Raw genomic sequence first — 24,829 nt, 5'->3', positions numbered from 1 at the left:
GTTGCAGTTTCAACTCTGTCATTCTATGGGCTTCAATTTGGGAAAATTTCATAACCCCTATAAATCTCCAGTTTTTTTTTTCTGTGAAATGGGGGTTATCATTGTGTTTATAGGCATGGTATAATGAATGGTACATGTTCAGCGCTCACTAAATATTTACTGTTATGTTGTTGTTACTGTTATTGTTGTCATCATCCTGGGGCATTTTATAACCTTGGAGAACTTTTTGGGGGTAGCTATAAGGAGGGTAGGAGTCATGTGTTTAGGATCCTGGGGGTCTATCCCTCAATCTTTTTCCATAAGAGAAACAACTCATACGTTCAGAGAAGGCACTTTCTCTCCCTTCCACATCTAAAGTGCAGCTAATGATATTTGTGCCTTGTTGGGAAAATTAAATGAGAAAATATATGCGAAGCAGCCCATACAATGCACAAAGCATACATTCCACAAATGTTAGTTCTTATCTCTTCATCTTTTGATACTTCTTTTCACATTGTGGAGATAAATGTGGGGACCCCCTTGCCTTGCATTTTACACTGTACTCCTAGGCTGGGTAAATTGCAAGTTAACTCTGGCAGCTTGGTGGCTGCAGGTGAACGCAGCTGGTGAAGGGCCGGTGGCCTTACCCTGGGCAGAGTTGTGCAACCCAACCTTGAAGACTTGGGCCTGCAGGCTCCGTGGCCTTGAGTGGCAGGGGGTGTCTCAGTGACAAGGGTAGAGGGCAGAGGTTTGGGGGGTGGAGGGAAGATGGGCAAGGTCTAACAGTGGTGTTGGGGGCCTTAGAGGAGATGGGGTGGGGATGAGGGCTGTCCTCTGCCCTCTTCAAGAGATAACTGCCTTTTTCTTGTGTGGCAGGTCCAACTTTGCAATTTACCAGGTGAGTGGCCACAGGAAAAGTAGTAATCTCTGTGAAGACAATAATACTCATCTTAAAGAGCTGTTTTTGAGGCTCATATCAGACGAGATACTTTATAGAAAAGATGTATGGCACATAGCATAGGCCCCTTTCTCCAACACCATCCTCCATCTATACCAACAAATCCTTGCCTCTAATGAGTTTGCCACACTGGCGTGTGCTCTTGGGGGTCCCTGAATGCCACCTGCAGGTGTCTGAGGCAAGTGCCTTCAAGGAGCCTTGTGAGACTGGATGGTTTCATGTAGGGTGAGCACAAGCTGTTGTAGAAAGTTCTATCCACATGGTTAGAGCTCTGTATAAAAGCAACCGGATGCAAAGACCGAGGCATGGTAGGCATGGGGCCTGGGAGTCTTCTATCAGCAGGCTGCTCTTCAAGCCTGTCCTCTCCCTGTGACATCTAGATGCTTCCCACTGGCCATCGCCCTTCCAGCACAGCAGGGGTGATGGAGCAGAGGCCAGCTCTCTACTCCCTCCTCCATCACCTCTTTACCAAACACAAAATCCTTTTGGATTGGTATCCCTTTCCTTTAAAAACTTTTTAATTGAAAAAGAAATTTAACTTATAGAAAGATATAGAAAAAACAGTAGTATCTCACTGCTAGGTATAAATAAATGTTAACATTTTGCTTTGATTGTTTGCCTTAGATTATGTTTTCCAATGAAACCACTATTAATAATGCTGAAATCTTCATTGAACTGCTTTCCAAGCCTGACTGGAGGCAACCTCTGTCATGATTTTGACGTGTGTCCCTTCAGTCCATGATTTTTACATTCACCCTATGACTATGTATCCATGTCGAGATTTTATATTTCTTCCCTTGACTCTTCCACTGTGGAAGTTATACATGGTATTTCTATTGTTTTTGTAGTTTCTCTAGCATTTTTAATAGCCATATTTTTCGAACAAATTTTAAATTAATTGATATTTCTATTCTCTTCCTAAACGAGATATAGAATTTAGAATGCTTTGACTTTTGCTTCTATCTTTCGTGTTACCACAGTCTAATATTTAGTTCTACCATGGTTTTACCCACTGTTTATCATTATTTTCTAGAATCTGTACCTGTTTAGATTTAACAAAGTATTTATACTTTTCTTGGTACACAATTGCATCTTGCATTCCTGTCTCTATCTTCTTTTTTCTGAAGTAATCCTTTAGTTGTTATTTCAGTGAAGATCTGTGTTTAATTAACTCTTAATCTTTTTCTGAAATTATCTTTCCTTTGTCTGCGGTCTCAGCTGTGGGCCAGCTGAAGATAGAACAACAGATTGACTTCTTCCTTCGCTAGCACTTTTAAGATATTATTCCATCATCTTTTAGCAGCTGTTGATGCCAATAAAAAGGCTACTTCAATCTGATATTTCTTTGAAGATAACCTGTCTTTACTCTCTAGTATCTTTAAAACTATTATTATTTTTTATTTATTTTGTTTTGTCTTTTGTTTTATTTATTTATTTTTTTGAGATAGAGTTTTGCACTTGTTGCCCAGGCTGGAGTGCGGTAACACGATCTCGACTCACTGCAACCTCCGCCTCCTGGGTTAAAGCAATTCTCCTGCCTCAGCCTCCCGGGTTAAAGTGATTCTCCTGCCTCTGTCTCCTGGGTTAAAGTGATTCTCCTGCCTCAGCCTCTGGAGTAGCTGGGATTACAGGCATCCGCCACTACGCCTGGCTAATTTTTTGTATTTTTTAGTAGTGATTGGGTTTCATCATGTTGGCTAGGCTGGTCTCGAACTCCTCCTGACCTCAGGTGATCCACCTGCCTTGGCCTCCCAAAGTGCAAAGATTACAGGTGTGAGCCACCATGCCTAGCCTAAAACTATTATCTTTTTCCTTGATGTTTTGTGGTTTCACATTCATGTGTCTAAATGTGTGTTTGTTTTTACTTATTCCATATGCTTTTTCAACTCAAGGCCCATCAGCTTTTCTCAAATCTGGAAAATTCTTAGCCATCTTCTCTTCAAATATTTCCTCTCACCCTTATTCTCCTTTGTCTCTCTGTAGCACTTATTGACAGATACAGGGCTATTAAAACATGTTCTTTGCCAGAAGCGGTGGCTCACGCCTGTAATCCCAGCACTTTGGGAAGCCGAGGCGGGTGGATAGCCTGAGGTCAGGAGTTCGAGACCAGCCTGGCCAACATGGTGAAACCCCCGTCTCTACTAATAATACAAAAATTAACTGGGCGTGGTGGCAGGCACCTGTAATCCCAGCTACTAGAGGCTGTGGCCGGAGAATCGCTTGAACCCGGGAGGTGGAGGTTGTAGTGAGCTGAGATCGTGCCACTGCCCTCTAGCCTGGGGGACAAGAGTGAGACTTCATCTCAAAAAAAATAGTTCATGTTTTTCAATTTCTTTCTCATTAAAAAAGTCTTTACTATCTTTTTGCTGTGTTCTAGATGATTTTCTCAGATCTGTTTTTCAAGTCACCATTTTTCTCCACTTCTGTATCATTAGGCTATTTAAACAGCCTGTTGAGGATTTAAAAAAAATTGGATAATCATGTTTTTTATTTTTACAACTTGATTTTAGTTCTTTTGCAAACCAGCTTTTATTATAATGTTCCGTGCTTGCAATATAGATTATGGTCTTCTAATTTTAGAACATTTTAGACATACTGATTTTAAGTTCCTTTTCAGAATTCTCAATTATTGGCGATTCCTTAGGAATGAATTCTCCCATTTGTAACATTTGCTGACATTAGCAGTATCATGTCCTTATGTGCTTTGTAACTTCTGTCTCATCCTCAGTGGGAATTATCTTATGTGGAGTCCTGTATATTCTCCAGGACATGAGGCCTCCCTCTGCTGTAGATTCTGCATTATAAAAGTCTCTTTTCTAGACCATCTTAAAAAAGAGATGGGATCTCATTATGATGCCCAGGCTAGCCTCAAACTCCTGGGCTTAAGTGATCCTCCTGTCTCAGTCTCCCAAGTAGCTGGGACTACAGGTGCATATTACTGTACCGTAGACCAATTTTTCTTTAGATTTAGGCTGTGGGCTTCTATTCCTGGTAAAAAGCATGAGAATTTGGGTTTTATACTAGCATATGCAAACTAGGTCCTCTAATTTATTTCATTAGCTCTCTTTCTTTTCCCCCCTACCCACACCTTGGGGTGGTCAGCCAGCTTCTCTGCTATAACTTTGAGTATGGAAAGAGTTTTTCTAATGGCATCATTCTTTCCAAAATTTCTGCGTAGATCCAGTTCTCTGTGATGAATAGGAACTGTGGCTTTGACTTGTGTTTCTATATGATATTAAAGCCCCTCTAAAGCAGTGCTTCTTACACTTCAATGTGCATATGAATCACCTGGGGAACTTGTTAAAATGAAGGTTCTGATTCATTAAGTCTGGGGTGGGGCCTGAGATTCTGCCTTTTTAACAAACTCCCAGGAGATCCCAATACTGCCGATGCAGGGACTGTGCTTGGAGTAGCAGAGTCCTCAAGCATATCTCTGGCCAGGTACTCCTGGGCTTCCATTGGCTCTACCTTCCACTCTGTTCTACATGTTACCTTTGTTTTTGACAACTGAAAGGTTTCCTCTCTTGAGGGTCCCTTCAACCTGAGACTCTGAATCCTAGATTCTTTCCAGTTCTAGTAAAACCCCAGTTACCTGGTATTTTAGGATGAAGTATGGCTGTGTGAGATAGAGAAAAGCCCCAAATAACAGAGGCTTAAACAAGGTGTCACATAAAAGTATTCATAGTTAGGAACTCTAGGGCTGTGTGGTTTGTCCACAATTGCCAAGGACCTAGGCTTCTTGCATTTTGCTGCTCTGTCATCCATGGTGAGCTACCTCATGGTTTAATGTGACTACAAGAGCTCCAGCCATCATATTCACCTTCCAACCAGCAGAAAGGACAGATTAAGAAAGGCAAATCTTAGAGGACACTTGCTGGAAGTTACAAATACCAGCCCCACTTCATTTCATTGCTAAAACTTAGTCACATGTTCACTCCTGATTGCAAAAGAGTCTGGGAAATGCAATATTTATTCTGGGTAGTCAGATGCTGAAAACTAGGGCTGCTTTTGCTAAGAAAGAGGGGAATTGGTAAGCAATAGTCTCTGCCATAACCAGAATGCAGTTTTCTAGAAACTTAAGGCATCTGCCTTAGCCATGGATCCAGAAGAGGATGGGTTGGTGGGAGCAGGAACAGATAGCCTCTTCATCTGCACAGTGGCAGCCATGGAGCTCTAGCAACCAGCAACCAAGAGACACAGAGGCCCACACACACAAAAAAGATAAATACTCAGAGAGGACAGTATGCCCTCTGTATTAGTCCGTTTTCACACTGCTGTAAAGAACTTTCCTGAGACTGGGTAATTTATAAAGGAAAGAGGTTTAATTGACTCATAGTTCCACATGGCTTGGGAGGCCTCAGGAATCTTACAATCATGGCAGAAGGGGAAGCAGACAATTTCTTCACAAGGTGGCAGGAGAGAGAAGAGCAGGGGAAACTGCCACTTATAAAACCATCAGATCTCGTGAGAACTCACAAGAACAGCATGGAGAAAACTGCCCCCATGATCCAGTCACCTCCCACCAGGTCCCTCCCTTGACATGTGGGAATTACAATTCGAGGTGAGATTTGGGTGAGGACACAGGGCCAAACCATGTCACCTCTGAGTAGTTTATTCCTTGAACAGAAGGAAAGCAGAATCGTGACTATATAGTGATAACTACAAAACCCTAGTGTTTTTCTTCAAGGTCTTGAGAAATTTTCCAGAAATAAACAGGCAAATTTCTCAAGAGCAGGCAACAAAAGAGAAAAGAGAATTGGAGAGCCCCAAAGAGTGAGAGCGGTGGAAAGAGGGCTGGCAGCAGACGTTCTGTGAGATGAGAGCAAAAGCAGTTTGGGTGAGTAGCAAAGCTGCCGAAGACCCGGATATTTCTCCTGGGGTATGTGCCCAGGACAGGGTAGAGGTGAGTGGAGGAGGATGGGGGTGGGAGCAAGAGAGTAGACCCACCAGTCACAGTGTCACCTTTCAGGACCTCTAAGACCTCAGTACCAGGCTGAAGGGGAACTGGCCAGGACAAGTCAGGGGTCTCAGGGTTGGGGAGAGAAGGCCAATTTTGGCATAGAGATACTTACATCAGCTTCAATGGTTAGGGCCCAACACAAAGATAGTGGTTTGTTGTGAATATCCCTAGTCCCCAAGTAAACGTTACACTTAGTAATATTACATAATGCATATTAGCAACTCAGAGAAGTCCTATAGTAAATAACCAAACAATGACTGGTTTTTCCCTAGAGATTTAAAATTATTTTTGATTATGGAATGCCCCTTTCATGGGGCATACCTTTTATCCCAGTGTTCCTCAGAGCACCCTCTAGAAAACCATGCCACAGACAGGTAAGCCAGTTGCCCAGAATAAACGCTACTATTTTTAGTACTAAATTCAGATGGAATTACCCCTGAGGGTACTGAAAACACTGTGATAGCACTGTGATGTGGCCCCACATATAACGATGCTTTTCGTGGGACTGTTTCTTGTAATGACATTTTAAAAAATGCTGATTGCGTCACACCAAAAACAGTTCAGCAACAGTAATTCTTCTGGGGCCGATATGATGTACTCCAGATATCCGTGTTTCCCTTGCTCTGGTGGGATCCTTGGACGGTGTTAGAAAATCTGGAAGAACAGATGAACTGCTTGTCCTTCAAGTGGTCTTCTCTGAAATAGTGTTATTTTTAAGCAGGGTTTTTACGTAAATATTTAGTAGTGGGGCATACAACTGTTCTCTCTAGATGAACTCGAAGGATGGTGTTCTTTGTTGCCATTTGAATACCACATCAATCAGTTGTGCCTATGACAATCAAGCTGGGGTGAGGTTGATATGCCTTTTGGAGCTGAGCCCTCCATCACTGTCCACCAGCAAGACAAGGATTCTCTTCTGAAGTTGCTTTGGTCCACTCCAGTGTGTAAATGAATGAGCAAATCAGGCCCCCAAAGTCTACCTCATTTAACATGGCTGAAGTAGTGCCCATGCCTCAGAATATTTAAGATTGGCATAATTAGACCCTTGCCACAGCCAAATACATTCTTGGCAAAGCACCCAAGAAGGCCTGGCTTTGGGCAGTGCTACTGTCAGGACCCCGTCCAAGACAAACTCCATGTTAGCGCCAAGTAACTGAATGAAGTAACTTGTATTGGGTCATTATTTATAAATCAGTTAAAATGTGGAGCCTATCAGAGAGAACATATTTAGTTTTAGGACAGATCTATGGGCTTTCCTTCTGAAAATAATTGGCTAACATGGCAAATTTATTTTCAGATCAGTTCTAATTTAAGATAATAAGACGTCATCTCTCTATACAAGAATGTCTGTCTTTTTGCTTTGCAGGGGAGGTCGGGATTGGCATCCAGGATGTCCAAAACATCATTAGGAGACAACCTAGAAAGAAATGATTCCAGAACACATCCCTGTAATATGTGTCTGGACATATTTTATAGTTAGAAGCCAAATGCTACTGACATGAATGATCATTGCTATTTTTCAGAACTGGTTCTGGCCAGACATTAATGGTCCAAGTTCTAAGTAGCGGCCTGAGTCAGGGTTCACTTCAGGTCAACAACTGTTGCACATCATCCAATATGCTCTTAGAGTTGAGTGTAATAGTAGTCTGAGGTGGGATAGCTGCATCTGAAGCTTGCATGCTCCTTGACGGGTAAGAATTTGACACTCTGCTGCAAAATGGATTTGATTTGGTAACAGTGCAAACCCAGGGTGGGGAAAGAACCCTTTATTAATGGCCTCCAGCACTTGCGTTCTGTCTTTCATCATGGAAGTAAAAACAATTTTCTATGTGTGTGTGTATGTGAGAAATAGATCCTCCCTAAAAGCCAATTCCTGGTGCTAGTGAAAGAATTAAAGAAGAGATATTTTGGATAAATTAGAGTGAAATATTACTCACATGTATGTACATATAGCAATTTAGTATATGATGTGGCATTGCCAATAAGTGGAGGAAAGAATAGGTTATTCCATAAATGAGATTGGGACTACTGGAAATTTAGAAAAAATGGTTGGCTTCCTATTTTCCCATATATAAAAATGCATTCCAGATGGAATAAAGTGCTAAATTTAAAAAACAACTTCAAAAGATCTGAAGAAAATATAGATGAATATTGCATTAATCTTGGAAGTAGCAAAGGAAACCACAAAAGAAATATTTGTTATTTTTGACTACAGAAAAATAAAAACTTCTGTACAAAAAGAAAAATACCACAAACAAAATTACAAGGCAAATGAGTATCTGGAAGAGAGCATTTGTAACATATATAACAGACAAAGGAATAATAACTACAAAATGAGTTTCTAGAAATGGACAGTTAAGACAACCAACCAGATTAAAACAGCAGACACAGAATAGCAATGGGCAAGTCATAGTAGAAATAGATAACTAGTGATTGGTGAACTGAAAGTTAACAATGAGATGTTTTCCTAATAACATATTGGTAAGAATTTAGGAAGGTTTAAAATATCCCATGAGTTGGGGACAATTCTTGGTAAAGAGTAAACTGACCCTGCCTCCAGGATGGCCACGCGGCAGAAGCTATAAAAAATGTCAATGTGCAAATCATCTAAAGCTAGGTATTAACTTAGAAATGTTGGTTTTAGTGAAGCACTCGTACAGGTGCCCAGGAGGCATGGGGAAGGATATATTTTGCAATGTTATATGAGAGGAAATGCAGAAACACCTGAAATACTCATCCATGGGGATAGATTTAAATAGGCATGGTTTGTCTCTCTGCACTTGAAAGAATGGGGGATACCCTGGCATAGAGATATCTGTGAGATATAAGAGGAAGTGCAAAGTGCAAGTTGCAGTAGCATACGCCTGGCATGACACCATGTAATACAGGTCTACAGGCACAGAACTGCAAAGACAAAGGTCTGTAAGAAACAGGTCACATTAACTGTATGTGTGTCCTTTCTTGGTAGGGAAGTATGGTGGTCTGGGGAAGATAATGGTCAATGGGAACTTTCTTCTACCTAGTTCTATGTTGTTTAACTTAACACACACGCACACATATACAAGAATGGATTCGTGTATTGCTTGTATGTTGTTTAACTTAAAACACACAAGAATGTGTTCATGTATTACTTTTTTTTGAGATGGGGTCTGGCTCTATTGCCCAGGCTGCAGTGCGGTGATGTGATTACAGTTTACTGCTCCCTTAGCCTCCTGGGCTCAAGTGATCCTCCCACCTCAGCCTCCTGAGTAGCTGGAACTATAGGCGCACACCACCACACCTGGCTAATTTTTTGGTATTTTTTGTAGATGTGGGGTTTTGCCATGCTGCCGAGGCTGGTCTTCAACTCCTGAGCTTGAGCAATCCTCCCGCCTTGGCCTCCCAAAGTGCTGGGATTACAAGTGTGAGCCACTGTGTCCGGCCTATGTATTACTTACATATTTAAAAAACAAAATCACACACACATGCAGAAAATGGAATGTGGCATTTTGCAGTGGCTTGGACTTTAGAAGTGAGTGATTCTGTCATTGTGCCATATATTCACTTATTCATTCATTTAATAAATATTTTTGAATGCCTACTATGTGCCCAGCACAAAAACTAGAGAAAGAATAGAGAGAAAGATCTGTAAAATTATTTCACTGCAGGCTCTGCTTAGTAATTGTATTAGTCACCTGTGGTTGCCATAATAAACTATGATAGACTGGATGGCTAACAACAGAAATCTATGTTCTCACTGTGTAGGAGGCTGGAAGACTGAGGTCAGGGTGCTGGCCTGGTCTGGTTCTGGTGAGAGTCCTCTCCTGTACTGCAGGTGACCACATTCTCACTGTGTGCTCACATGGGAGGGAGGGAGGGAGGGATCACTTATAAGGGTACTAATCCCATCACAAAAGCCCCACCCCCGTTTAACCCTAATTACCTCCCAAAGGACCCATCTCCAAATACCATCTCATTGGGGTTCAACATATAAATTTTGAGGGAACACAAACATTCAGTCCATCATAATACATTTCATGGGATGTTAAAAAAGATAGTGGACAGAGACACCAAGGTACAATAGATGTGAAATTACAAAGTTAGATCACCCCTTGCAGAATGTACAAAGGAAAGTGAACTCAACACTGCTGTATCCACCTTGAGAAAATAAAATGTTTGAGGCACTGAAAAGGGAGAATGGATTAGAAATGAGATTTCTCTGCTGAGAGCTGTTACAGAGCTGTGACTCCCTCCCCACGGGGTCTGTGTGTGGTAAAAGACACGAGGCAGACGGGTCAACTCCCTCCTCCCTTCTCACCACAGGCTTCCAGCCTAAAGCAAAGTGCAGCTGTGGGTAGGGAGAAGGGCATGTTGTTCAATCAAGTAGGAAAGTTTAATTATTGCACAGAATGGCCATTCAGGTCACCACATTGGGACTGTTGTTTTTCACTTCAAGTGGCTTAGCGTGTCAACCACACAAGACTGAACCAAAAAGTTCCATCTTTCTCTACTGCTGAATAAAACCCCCTGCAGGATCTTCTGGACCTGCAGGAGGTTTTATTCAGCAGTAGAGAAAGACTACCCATGTGGAATCAGGTTTAAAGGGATAATGGAAGATGAAAATAAAATTGTGCTTTGATTACATCATAAGTCATGCGTGGTCAATATATCGGTTACATATAATTGCTCATCAAGGAAGAGGCAAAAGTGTAGAGTCAGGGGAAAAGGGGGATGGTGTGTGGTGCCAGGCTACACAGTGGACACCTGTGGCTTTTCCTGTAAATGTGATCCTTGAGCAAGCCAGGAGTCTGTCCAGGTTTAGCTGTATTCGTGAATTTGGAGGTTCACCAAGACCCCCTGATGTACTCCTTGCAGATGCCAAAGGTTTACTATGGTACACTTTGGAAGGTTTTCCATTAAAATATATCCCATTAAAATGATGTCTTGGCACCTAAAGGATTAGCTTCCATTTATCCAGAAAATGAAGCCGTCTGGTTGGCATTTATTGCTATAGTGTTTTGAGTTTCTGCTAAAACATCGTAGTTCCTGGGGATGCACGTATGCCTCTCTGAAGGTGTGGAGAGGGAACATAGAAGACCTGCTTGCAAAGGGGAAAACGTCTCCTGGCAATTGCCTTCCCTCTTCCTCTTTCAAAATTCAGTGCAAACATCACCTTGTGAAGCTGTCTCCATTTCTAAAGCCAAGTTGATTACTTCTTTCTAGATGAACCATCTATATACTTGCTAAAGTATTTGTATTGTGTGCTTTGTATTTATTTGCCTATCTGCCTATTCCACAAGACCTTCAGCTACCTGAAGGTAAGAAATCCTGTATTTTATCAGTTTTAAGATACTTATTTTCCCTCCACATGTTTACATTTCTGAAATTACTATAGCTTTTGATGGCCTGTCATCATAGTTCAATTGGCAATATATTTCTCAGGGTTCCATAATTTTTGTTTTAGTGGTACATAAAATAATGATATGTCTCACAATTGATGGTGACTTAAAGTCAGAGAAATGTGGCTTATCTAATTCATCATCATAACCACAAACACTACTACCTAACCTAGAATGTAGTAGGTGCCCAATAAATACATGAAACTAACAGATTTTGTGGTGGTGGATTTCAGCAGTAGGGGTCACTGATCTGGATAACTGGCAATGGAGAGCAATATGGTAGGCAGTGGACTTCTGGAACTGCAAGCAACTTCCAGAATGTTGAAGGGGATGTACCACTTAGGCTAAACCTGGCTGCTGTAATGACTAGATCCAATACTGCATTAGTGGCTCAAATGCAAAAGAAGTTTATTTCCTTTTCGATGGAAATTTGATGGAAATTTTGCTGTCGTGTCCTTATCCTGCAGGACCTCTCATCATCCTCCCCATGCAGGCAGAAGGTAAAGAGAGTATGGAGAAGGCAGGGCCACTTTTAAAGTCTTGGTCTGGAAATGACTCATAGAACTTCTGCTCACATTCCACTGGTGAGCGACAGTCACAGGCCACATATAGTTGCAAGGGAGCGTCGGGGGCTGGTAATGTAATTCTTAGCTGGGCTTCTCTTTCCTAGTTAGGAGGTGGGAGCATATATTTTGGTGAGCAGTTATCTCTTTCAACTGCAGGGAACCCCTGGACTGTTGCCTGCAGATAAAGTTGTCTGCCTTTTATTGCAAGTTTAACTTTGACTCCAACTGTGTTAGTCAATCATTTCTTGGAAAACCAACCCTGACCAGCTTTAGTAAAACCAGAAACATCCTGGTTAGGTGAAGCTGGACCTAGGACCTCAAAGAATATAATTAATCCCTCCCCCACTTCCGCTCCTTTTCTCCCTCCCCCTTTCCCTCCCCTTTGTTTTTACTATGCTAGTTTTAATCCACGAACAGGAACGCTCCACAAGGTGGGAAAGAGAAAGATGCCTTACTGGATGCTTTCAGCCCATGACCACAGAAGGAAAGGGAAAGCAGTTTCTTGCAGATCCATTAATCTCCCTGAAAAGGGCTCCTTGTGGCCCTAACCAGGTCATGAGCACTCTTGGGCCGAAGGCTGTGTCAGGGGTGGGGTAGGATGGTGCTCTGAATGGAGAGCTTGACGGCACCACCAGAATTGCCTGGAACCAATGGGGAAGCGATGAAGAACAGTCAAAAAAAGTGAGAGCCGTTCCCTGTTCCCAGCCACCACTCAGCTTCATCTGCCGCCATTCTCCATCTCATGTCCTGCTCCACAGTCACTGAGCTTGATGCCTTTCCCCAAATACCCCAGACCCCATCATTATTCCAAGCTGCACCCTCTTTCAGGACCGGCCTCCTCCATGCGTCTCCCCTGTTCACCCACCAGGACCAGCTCTCAGTCATTTCCTTAGGAAGATTTTCTTGACACCCCACCCCTGCCAGCCTAGCTATCACCATCAAACAGGATTTTTACCCAAAGGGACTGAACTTTGAGGCCACAACTGAGGCCCAAACAGAAGTGGGCTCTGTGGTTCTGCCCCACTGGCTGCACCTACATCTGGGTGTGCAACTGGGCTGGCCTTGGAGCAGCCTGCAGTGTGTTGTGTTGTTGTGTTGTGTTGTGTTGACTGAGTCCCCGGAGGTGTAACATACCGTCTTGTCCAAAACAAACACTAGTGCCAGGGAAATCCTCATCCGTATCAAACAGGGACTGCATGGGGGAGAGGTCTGCAAGGAGTTGGCTGCCCACAAAGCTCCAATTAGCCCCCAAATTATCTCCTGAGTCACGTGTGTGAGGATTTCTAACCAAAATTTGCTGGAAAATGGATTCTCAATGCTTCTGTCTATTTACCTAATACTTAACCCAAGGATAACAACACACATACAAGTTTAAAATAAAACACATGTTGGGTTTTTTTTTTTTAAATAAAAATTTGAAACAGATGGTCTCTTTTAAGACAAATATTTATTCCCCTGACATTTTTTCACTTACATGTTTATATTTTTAAATCTAGGCTTTATGCAGAGACCTTAGAGATGTCACGATAATAAAATCCATGTTGTTCATAATTGTCTATTTCCTAGAATGCAATGCTGGAAGCAACCTCAAGAAGCTATCTCTGGCATCCCCCTCCTCCAGGCAGGCCAATGTGCGACCAGCTGAGACCAACTGGTGTTTATTTTGTTTATCTTGGAAGCTTTTGAGGAAGGAAGCTGTAAACTCTTTCTTACTGTGCTTACCGGCTCTCCATTGAGTTTCCGATCCCTGGGCTGGGTGAAGGGTTCTTGCAGAGGGGAGAGTTCAGAGCAAAGCTGCTTAGGGTGTTTTCTGCCCTGGTGTCTTCTTTGTTATGCTCTTGTCTATCCCGGTTCAACATTGGCAGTGCAGCCCCTCTGACTTTGCCATCACATGCTTATCTTGGGTTCCACTGTACCTGTTCCGATTCCTTTGTACATAGCTCTGATAGGACCAGCTCCTATCTTGGCCAGAGCTGTGAATTTTTTTTTTCTCCTAAGGTAGGTGAGTGTCCAAAGGAAGAATCAATAGATGTTATGAAATGTTAGAAAAAAAATGGACAGTTTTCAGAAGTCATTGACAAAGAGGAGCCAGTCCTTTGCCTGAAATATGTGATTTGAGAGGCGTTTTTTGGGAGAAATGAATGGACTTTTCTGCATTCTTGTATCAGCTAGCTTTTGCTGTATAATAAACTACTCCCAAAATGTACTGACTTAACAGAATATGGTCTTACTATTCTGGGGATAGGCTAGGTAGATTGTCTGGTACAGACTGTCCTGGCTGGGGATGGACAGTCTAGAGTGGCCTCACACTCACGTCTGGTGGTTTGCTCTATGTCACCTGGAGCAACGGAGAACACTTGGCCACGTGTTCTCATTGTTCAGGCTAGCTTGGGCTTGTTCACAGGGCAGTAGTTGCAAGCTTCCCAAGAGTATCAAAAAAGAGCAAGCCTCAATGTGCAAGTGCTTTTCAAGTCTCTGTTTAGGTAATGTTTGCCATTGTTCCATCAGCCAAAGAGAGTCACAAGGCCAGCCCCGAGTCAGGGTAGGAGAATGTATCAAAAGTCATGGATAGAGGGAGGTCATCTTTGCAAGCTTACTACATTTCTTCTTGAGGACAGAGAAAGGAGGCATCCCTTCTTGAGTCCTATCAAATCCAGATGGCCTGATAACTTTCTCAGAGAAGGAAAATCTTGCATTTCCTCATCCCAAACTTTATCCCAGCTGAGTATCAGATTCAATAAGGTTTTTCCATGCCAGTTGTCCCTGCAACCTCCCTGAGGACAAGGACTTGCGTTATCTCTGACTCTCAGCATAATGCTGGGCAACTAGCAAATGATCAAGAAATAGTTTCAAATGAATGAATGATCAATGAATGAAAGCTTGTCTTCCTAATACAGAAGTCATTCTAACTTGATTTGAGTTTACCTTAACCCTCTTTATTTGCTTAATAATTAAAGACATATCAAATAACTGGACTCAAACCATCCCAGAAGTAGTTTAAAAACAGATCAGATCAAGTCCCTCTGTGGTGTAAATGTCTTCAAAGACTTTGTTATGTTTATAATAAAACCCAGCTCCTTGCTATGGCTTAGAAAGTCAACATGATCTGGTCTTTGTATTATCTGCCTTATCATTATTTCTTCTTATACCCTCTTAGCTACTAAGGTCAGTCATGATAGCCTTCTTTCAGTTCTTAGAATACATAAATACGTATCATAGGAAATGGAGGTTTTTCCTTTTTTCACTTGCAGGAGCACTTTCACTTGGATTTTTTTTTTTTTTTTCTTTGAGACAGGGTCTCTCTCTGTTACCCAGGCTGGAGTGCAGTGGTGCAATCACAGCTTACTGCAGCCTTAACCTCCAAGGGCTCAAGTGATCCTCCCACCTCAGCCTTCCAAGTAGCTGGGACTACAGGCATGCACCACCACAGCCAGCTAATTCTTAAATTTTTAGTAGAGATGGGGTCTTGCTATGTTGCCCCGGCTGATCTCAAACTCCTGAGACAATGTTTTATCTATACTCCCAAGGCTTTCTGCAGAGACCTTAGTGTTGGGATTATAGGTGTGAACAACCGTGCCTGGCCCACTTGGAACTTTTCTACTTGAAATACCACTCACCCTCCCACCCTAGTCTCTATAAGCCTGGTTCTTTCTTTTCATTTAGACTTCAGCTTAAATGTCACTGTTATCCTTCAAAGAGGCCAACCAACCTGATCATCTACACTAAGCCATTTTCTATCACTAAACCAGTTCAATCCTCGGCTTAACTCTTGATACTATCTAATATTGCCTTGTTTTTTGTCTATAGTCTTCTGCCTCTTATTTCCCACTAGAATGTTAGTTCCGGGACAGTACCTTGTCCTGGTCTTCGAGCATCTAGAACATTGCTTAATACACAGTGTATGCTCAAGAAATATTGGAGGCGATGGAAGACTTACCTGATCTTTCAGATCTTAATCTTTCTCCTTGATCTAATTGGCAAACAAAAAGGAAAACTTTAGGGGTAATTTAATCTGGTTCCTTCTCTATAACAATTCCCTAAAACATAAGGCACTTACTGCCTGATGTGGACATGCATGAAGAAACTGCTAGAGAATCTCTGTTTGCATTGGTTGCTTGAAAAAATTCAGGAACAAAAAGTTAAGATTACATAGCAATGAGTTATTTTCATGATTCCTTTTTTGGCAATAGTTTTACAGTGTGACCTTTCCTTAAAAATATTTTAAAAGTTAAAAAAATCTAACCAAATACTACTGAAGAGCTTATAATGCAAAGCAACAGTCACCTTCCCTTCCAATCCCACCCCTCCACCTCCTGTTCTGCTACTAAGAGACATCTGCTTTTATCTGTTTCTGTTTTTAGTTCTAAAACATATCTAAATAATGTGTGTATACCATTCTTCCTTCTTTTATCCAGTTCAGGCATTATCTGCTGATTTTGGCTCTGATGGATGAGGAGCTAGCTCTCTAGATCTCTTTTATGTTGCAGGCTTTCCTCAGTGTCTGGGGTCCTGGGTTGTTGAGAATGAGGGACTGGGAAATACATTTGGGAGCTCTGTGTTTATGGGTGGTCACTGGAAGGCTTTGGTGAGAGGAAGATGGGGGCTGGGGCTGAGGGGCTGGCCATCTTGCTGTGGGCTTCTGAAATCCAGGATATTGGGGCTTTCTTTACTCTGGTGTACCACCAATAACCCTTGTTGTCCCTGTTCTCCAAGACGCTGAAATTTCCTTGGAGGAGACTTCTTCCCTTCTTCCCCTCCCCTCTGTCCTTTTCTCTCTTTGCGGCTCCCTTCTCTGGCCTTAGGATTCAGAGCCTGGTTGCAAACCATTCTGACAGCTGAGGTCGTGGATATGGTTAGAGTGCCCTTACCATGCTGTATACATATTTTGAATTAATCTCCCACTTATTCTTACTTTCATCACCCACCTTGTCTATTGTCTTTGAGTCAGACCCTCTCCAGGGTAGGGCCAGGTGGGGCAGCTACAGCTCCTTCTAGGAAGCTTCTAGGAGATCAGGATTTCTATCCTGCCAGCTACTTTGCTTTGTCAGCGAATTCTCTTTTATTGGCGTTAAGATTTCTAGAAATGGGTTGAAACTTTTCTTCTGCTGAAGGACTCCTTCCATTTTCTTCCCTATTAAGGATTTATACCTTTTAAAAATGCATTTTGGTAAAGTCTCAAGAGGAAAAGAAAGTGAATGCATCTGCTCTTTTGCCATGGGACAGTCTTGACTTTTCTTTCACTTAAAAATGTACTGTTATGCTGTTTAATTTGGATCTTTATCATTTTTAAATTATTTAATCTGTTTAATTTTTTTTCAAGACAAGGTCTCACTCTGTTGCCCAGGCTGGAGTGCCGTGGCACAATCTTGGCTTACAGCAACCTCCACCTCTCGGGCTCAAGCGGTCTTCCCACCTCAGCCTCTTGAGTAGCTGGGAGTGCAGGCGCACGTCACCATGCCCAGCTAAATTTTGTATTTTTTTTTGGTGGAGATGGGGTTTTGTCATGTTGCCCAAGCTGCTCTTGAACTCCTGGGCTCAAGAGATCCATCTGCCTCAGCCTCCCAAAGTGCTGGGATTACAGATGTGAGCCACCATGCCTGGTCTATCATTTTTTAGAAAAGATAATTCTACAGAGTTTTGCCCTGGTAAGCTCATGACATCCTTTGTTCAGCTGCGATAAGATACATTTTTCTTCATCTCTTCATTCTGCAGTCCTGGAGCCCCAGCCTAAGCAGTTAGTCTGAAGGTTTTCCGTCTCCCTTTGCAAATTCTTGCTTATTTCCACATGCTGACCTGCCCACTTGAAGCCATCAGCAAGTTCTCTGAGAGCCTTTGATCACAGCAGCAAACTGGGTTTCTTTCATCAAACCAGAGGCTCCCAAATGGTGGGGTCTACCTCCCTGTCAAACTAGGGATCCCCATGGATGTAAATGACTTCCTAATTACACAAATGGGACTGCCTCCCCAAATGGGATTTCTTCCCTCATCAGATTGGAGGCCCCCTATCTATACCTCTATTTCTTTTAGGACCAGGAGGATTTCTAGACATATGTGATGAGCACAAATAATGCTGAGCAGGGGGTTGGCGATGGGGGTAGTCAGGAGATACAAGCTCAAGGAAAATACAGTGATATCTGGGCTGGTTGGGCTGCAGTTGGCTGTTCGTCTAAACCTCAATGAGGTGCTCTCTCTAACCATATTTAAGAATTCCTGACTTAGATTAGATTTTATCTTTCTGGAATAGCTCTGTTTTCCCTTCAAGGAGGTCCATATAGGCGAATGAACCAGTCAGAGACCCCTCTCATCAAACAGAATAAACCTGTCACTCTCTGAGCAACAAGGACTAAGGGTCCAGAAAAATGGAAGTGCTAGAGGAGGTTGGGCTCAAGAAGGGCCCACATGTTTGAACCATTTTCAGTTGCCTCAGAGGATTACCAAACTCCAATTTGAACCAATGGCAGCCTTTACTGGAAGGTGTAATGGAAAGAAACTCAGCTACTGGGCACAAGACTTTATGAGTAATAACATGGCTACAGGAAAGAAAAAGATGGAGCCAGGCTAGGTATCAAGACTAACCATTTAAAAATGGGAAATAACATACATAGGCAATAATAGCAAACAAGCTAAGATAGTTATATTACAAGTGCATTACAGAATAACATGTTACCACTAACATTTCTACTCCTAGAACACTTAAAACTAGAAATCTATGAAACTTTCTGTATAGTATTATCCCATGTTTAATTAAACATTTACATATTCTAGGCCAGGCGTGGTGGCTCATTCCTGTAATACCAACACTTTGGGAGGCCGAAGTGGGCGGATCATCTGAGGTCAGGAGTTCCAGACTGGCCTGGCCAACATGGTGAAACCTTGTCTCTACTAAAAATACAAAAAAATTAGCTGGGTGTGTTGGCGTGCGCCTGTAATCTCAGCTACTCAGGAAGTTGAGGCAGGAGAATCGCTTGAACCCTGGAGGCAGAGGTTGCAGTGAGCTGAGATTGCACCACTGCACTTCAGCCTGGGTGATAAGAGTAAGACTGTCTCAAAAAAAAATTATATATTCTATAAATGAATTTTTTGGATAAACACTCTCATATGGTAAGACAGTCTTCTCTTTCTATTCTAGATTTTCTGTTTTCATCATTGAGCAACTGAGCATGTGTTATTTTTCAATGAGAATTTTTTTCCTAGAAAATAACATACATGTAGAGTGTACACCAGAGGTTGTAAACTCAGATTCTTACAGAATTCAGAATGGCAACAAAAATGAGTAAAGTGGACTGGGTTTAAGAAAAATCAACAGCCAGAAATGTAATCAAACTTTCATTTTTACTTGACTAGGGCATAAGTACATAATATAATATAAACGTGTGATATTGGGGATTATATATTAAGTTTGAAATTGAAAAATGTAACATTAAAAAAAGAAATATGTAATTATTAATTTTTTTCTTTCATACCTCATTACTTCTTTGCTTTACAACCAGAAATGTGACACTTTTTCTTTTACCCCAACATGTCAATGTTGAGTCTTGCATTTCATGTTGTGATGTGCTGTATAGAATTCAACCTTGAATCTTTTAACTGAGAGCAATCGTTTTATTTAGTTTCATAATGGAAAACAGCTGTTCATGGCTGAGCATTGATAGAATATTTGTATGATGGTTTTTATATTTAGGGTAACCACTCCTGAGATATTTGTAGAATTCTGGCATTCCAATGTTGCAAAATTTAGTTTTAGGGAATGAATTGTGGTTCAAAAAATTCCATTTATATTACAATACTGAGAAAGGTGAGTTCAAAAAATTGCATTTGTGGCACAATATTGAGAAAGATCATTTTCATAAAACTAGCAACTTTTTTGGAATCTCATCCTGTCTTCAGCTCCAGAATTTTTAGAGAGCAGTTGAAGAGACCTCTTTCATTTTGGAAAACTGATTTCAGCATAGGAAAATAAGCCAGATGATTCTTTGCCAAATGAGTTTCCCTAAGATATAATTTCACTAAGAATGAGAAAACTGAATAGCCATTTGCATATTTGTGATAATTCTTAAAGAGATACCCAAAAGGGTTAAATGGCTTGTGATATTTACTGAAAAGGCATATACTTTGATCCAATCTTTGCTGGTGAGCTGGGGTATTTTTGTTGGATGATATGAACAAGTTAATAACTTTTCAGCTGTTCCTCCCCTCCCACCCATGAAAGACCCCGACATTACACACTAACTACCCTTTATTTATTAGAACAGACGAGTGTTATGACTACTGCATATCCACTTTATCAGGCAAAGCACTGAACTCTTTATGCTTTTAGCCATGGGAGTAAGTCCCATTCACTAGGCCCATGATATGTGTTCTATTTTAACTTTTTAGCACAAGGCAATTCCTGGTGAATTATTTAGTTTCCCTAATTGTGCAAAATTGGCCACCTTAGATTTAAGATTCATAACAAGGTCAGTGTTAATGCTGATCATTTCAGGAGCTCTGTTTTGTAGCCAGGCTTACTAATTTTGACCTGTCTGCTTTAAGTTTTTCAAGGCTTCTCAACACACAAAGCTAAGTAATTTCCTGAAATTGTGCCTGTGATGGACACCATGACCAAAAGTTCTCCAATCACATTGAAGTCTCTTTGGAACCATAAATAAATATAGCTGACTGGGTGGTATTATTTTAACTGGGCTCTCATAAGCTTCACTAGGAAATGCCACAAATGATTTAACTTTTTCACACAACCTGTCCTGTAAGTTCTCAGCCATGTCGTCATCTTGTTGAGCAACCAGCGTTTCTGTTTAGTCTTCCATTTGCAAATACTTGTTTTTGTTCAAGGTATGAATTTCTCTATCCTCAGTAGATTCTCTTTTGTAAACTCACCATTAATAAAAGGTTTCAATGCATGAGCAATATTTTCTCCTTCTCCATAACTTCATTTCACAGTTGTGTCATTTGTTTTATTTGCTTTGAAAAATAAAACATGTTAAAACATCAGTACTTTCTTTTAGATCGTTAAGTTTCCCTACCAGCCTCACAGCTTTTTTGTTTGAATTCTTTTGATACTGACACATTTCATTTGCATGTCAAACTTGGAAGAATGATTTTAACTTCTCCAAAAATAAAAAGCTATTTTCCGTTTTTTTTTTTTTTTTTTTTTTTGCAAACATGCAAACACATAGCTCTCGTTGATGCTCTTTTGTGTCTGTCCTTTTGCTTGAGTTATGGATATGTATGTATGAATGTCCATATAAAAGTTACTTTCTTCCCAACTCTGTTATAAGAAAATCATAGTCTAGGACGATGATGAGTGACTACTGACCCTCGGCCTCAGTGATAGGAAGAGAATGGGGAGTAGTGAGGGGTATGGTGGTATGGAAAACTACTCAGCTCCAGAGGACTTATTCCTTGCTGGAATGTGATTTCATTATAGACCTTCTAAATTCTTAAAACTTAAAGAAGGTGTAATATACAAATAGAAAAGTGGATCTATTTTAAGTATATGGCTTGATAAATTTTCCATGAATAGATCATAGATTGAGGAACAGAACAGCATCAGGACCCATAAGGCCCCTCACACTCCTTTCCAATTGAGACCTTTCAGTTTTTTTAAGAAAAAAGTATTTGGATTCATATGTGAACTCTCAATTTCTAACTTTTGTCAAGTAATTGAAAACATTAAAAAAATCCCTTGGGCCAAACAAAACACATCTCTGGCCAGAGTCAGCTCAGAAGACTACAGCCTGAAACCTCTGGTTTCCATGCTTTTCTTACTGTCTGGCAGCTCACACCTCTCTTCTCCTCCATCTAGAGGGGTAGGCAACCATGTTTCTATGTCATGATACCAGCCATGGTTGACCGGGGTCTTTCTCTGGGACTCTGGAAATGGGACACTGGAATTCTCTTTATCCTGGTGATGGTGCCAAAAGTGGCTCCAGGCCTAGAGCAGGCCCTATTCCACCATCCATTGAGGAGCAGAGAAAGCTGATGCCCACAGCGAGAAGGAAGCAGAAGTGCAGAGTGAGAGAGTGGGAGAAACTGCTTGGTTCCCCAATGTTTTTCCAGTTTTTGAGTTCTTGGTTCTAGCCCCTCCTGAGGCCAGTATAGATAAGGGCTGAGGAGCCAATTAGGCTGGTAGGCTTCTTCAAGAATTCCAGAGGAACAGTCAGGTGGGTGGATCAGAGTAAATGATGCTGGTGACAGCCAAGGACTGGCAGCCAAGTGGGCGGGGTCTCCATGTGAGACACTTCTTCACTCAGAGTCACATCCTAGGCCAGTGGGCTGGGATCAGGGGTAGAAGGCCCAGCAGGCAAGTAAAAGATGTATATTCCCTCAGGTGAGCTTGTAACTGAGTTCTAGATTAAGAAATGTTGGAGACTGAATGATTATTTCCAATTCTCCACTCCCTCCCTGCAATAGAATTATATACCCATGCCCTTTGCCATATGGCTTTACATGCACCCTACTAGAGGAGGTAGAGCCTATATTCCCATGCTGTCAGCTGTGGGCTTGGCCAGTTACCTTGCTTTGGCTAATGGAAATATGGATGGACGTGACAACGAGACAGTTCTGAATTGAGGCCTTAAGAGTCATGGGAGGCTTCCACTAGCCCCTTTGTGTGCTGCTTCCATATGTAATGAGAAGAGCCTATCCCAGGTAGCTGCTGGTTCCAGGAGAGAGATATGGAACTGATCTGTACCCAACTCACCACCTGAATCACAGCCCTTCTACCCAACCCACAGATTGTGAGTGAGGAAAATAAATGTTTGTTTTTGTAAGCCACTAAGATTATGGGATGGTTTATTACATAGTATTATCACAGCAATGTCTGACTTATACAGAGAAGAACTGGGTCCTAGGCAAAATTAGGGACAGAAGAGCCTGATTGTATCACAATGGGCCCAGGAGAGGGGAGAGGAGAGCTCAGGCTCAGAGGCAACGTGGTGCAGGAATGTGGGTTCTTAGAGGTCATCCCTGAGGGCACCAGATCCATGTATGATTGGAAAAGGGAAATGAGAGTGGTCTGGGGGAAATACCTGTCACCTCATTGATCATCTGGCTTGAAGGAAAATCAGGAGGAACACAGGAGCCAAGTAGTTGTAACTGAGCTGGTGACATTATTCCAAGCCGTTGTATCTGCTCAAACTTTACATACTCTCCAGCTTGGTTAGCATTGACTCAGGAGCTGTGAGCATCGGTGGATCTAGTTGTGAGGATCCTGGGAGGGTAGCAGCAGGAAAAATAAGGTAAAAGAGGGCACCAGCACCACAGCTCTCAAATGCTCACAAGTGTGAGTGCCTGTGTGTGGTTATCTGACAGCTCTTTTATAAATCTGATGGTTGCTTTCTACCCACCTGCTTGCTGTTTTTGTTGACATCTCAACCTGGAGTGGGTTTGAGGCTGGGAGGCTGAAACATACTCTGACCACATTCACCCACTTTCTGAGAACTTGCAGGCTCAGATGAAGCCTGTGAAACCACAGACCTATATAGGACAACTAGATGAACACGGCACAGTGGGGTGGCCAGTGATATATGTTGCCACAGCAGAGGATCCTGGGCAGTCGTAGCACAGACAGGGTGTTTCTGATTTTCCTTCTTGAAATTCCTCTTCCCAGGGGCTTCCAAGCTCAGGAAGCTCTTGTCATCTCCTAATCGAGGCAGATGAAGATGGGAGTTCTGTAGGGAGGCGTTTCCACTTAATCAAGGCCAGTCATACCCAAGCTCTAGGATTAGACAGATCTGCAGATCTGCGCAGTTACTTGGGCAGCCTGTTTTCTGTCTCTGCTACCTTGTTATCTGGCTCTTCTCTGAATTCCTGTAGCTTTTCCAGGACTTAAACAATGAGATTAACAGCTATCATTTTTTGAATGCCTACCATATGCTAGGCTCTCTAGTGGATCTTTTACAAGTATTATTGATAATAACAGCAAAGATAACTAATATTTACTAAGCATTTGCTAGGTGCCAGGCACTATGCCAAGCCCTATACTTGTATTAACTCACCGAGAATCCTCACAACGAGGCAACATGGGTGTCATTATTTTTATACACAAATAATAAACGGTGGAGCTCACTCCACCATTTGGATCTAGATCGGTCTGACTCCAGAGCTTTTGTTTTTTCACTGGTGATGCTCTCTTGCTTGATCTTGCTCTCTAGCCATGCCAGGACACTGTGCAGTTGGGCACGATAGGCTGGGGCAGATGCAGAGGGCTGGGATATGGAGTTAGATCAGGAGGATGAATGCAGGATGGTAGAAGTCCAGTGAGTCGTTCATGAAGGAGACAGGGATAAGGTTCAACAAGAAGTATGGTGAGGCCCTAAAAGGCAAGAGGAGCAGAGGTACAGACAACCCAGAAGCCATCAGATGTCCTGGCAGGCAGTCCAGGGGCAGGACAGCAGATCCTGGAGGAGACAGAGCTGGCCACAGCACAACTCATAGTTCTGGCTCTGCCCTTTACTAACTTTTGGGCAAATGACTTACCTGCCCTGAATTTCAGTTTCTTCATTTGTAAAATGGGCATAAAGAAACCTCCTTCATAGGGTTGAAATAGCTGAATGAGATAGCAAACATAAAGCACCAGTGACAGTGCCTAGTCCTGAGGATGTGCTCCACACATAGACTGCTACGTTTCTAAGACAGGCTCAGGCACAGAGACAGGGAGAACCCAGGCTATCATAACTGAGAGTCAAATAAAGTGCCCCAGGAGCAGCATTCTAACTAACCTGCTGACTGGGATTAGTATTGGTTTTAGAGACTGGAATGGGGTTAAGTGACCTCATTTCCATATAGAGGGTGGCTGAACTGAGTGGACAAGCAGGTACTGGTTTTTTCATAGATGGGTGTTGAAATCCCAGCCCCACACAGCTGACAGGCTCTTGTTCAGGACTTTGGACTTCCAGTCTGATGTCCTTTCGATGATACTGTGCTGGTGGTAAATAAACACTTGACATAAAATATGTTCAGGCATGTCAATGGCACATGCATTGTAATG

General features: G+C 42.1%; 2 annotated features.

The window, feature by feature from the left end:
• Positions 23,210 to 23,259: a silencer, noted in NCBI's record as "silent region_11390". NCBI's record gives its function as "represses an Ori minimal core promoter by ATAC-STARR-seq in GM12878 lymphoblastoid cells {active_cell/tissue: GM12878}" and the evidence as "EXISTENCE:reporter gene assay evidence [ECO:0000049][PMID:35858748]".
• Positions 23,390 to 23,439: an enhancer, noted in NCBI's record as "active region_15625". NCBI's record gives its function as "activates an Ori minimal core promoter by ATAC-STARR-seq in GM12878 lymphoblastoid cells {active_cell/tissue: GM12878}" and the evidence as "EXISTENCE:reporter gene assay evidence [ECO:0000049][PMID:35858748]".

Source organism: Homo sapiens, chromosome 2 (genome assembly GCF_000001405.40).
Source record: "Homo sapiens chromosome 2, GRCh38.p14 Primary Assembly".
NCBI classification, from domain to species: Eukaryota; Metazoa; Chordata; class Mammalia; order Primates; family Hominidae; genus Homo; species Homo sapiens.
The sequence above is the reverse complement of the archived record's forward strand: the minus strand, read 5'-3'. Positions and strand labels throughout refer to the sequence as shown.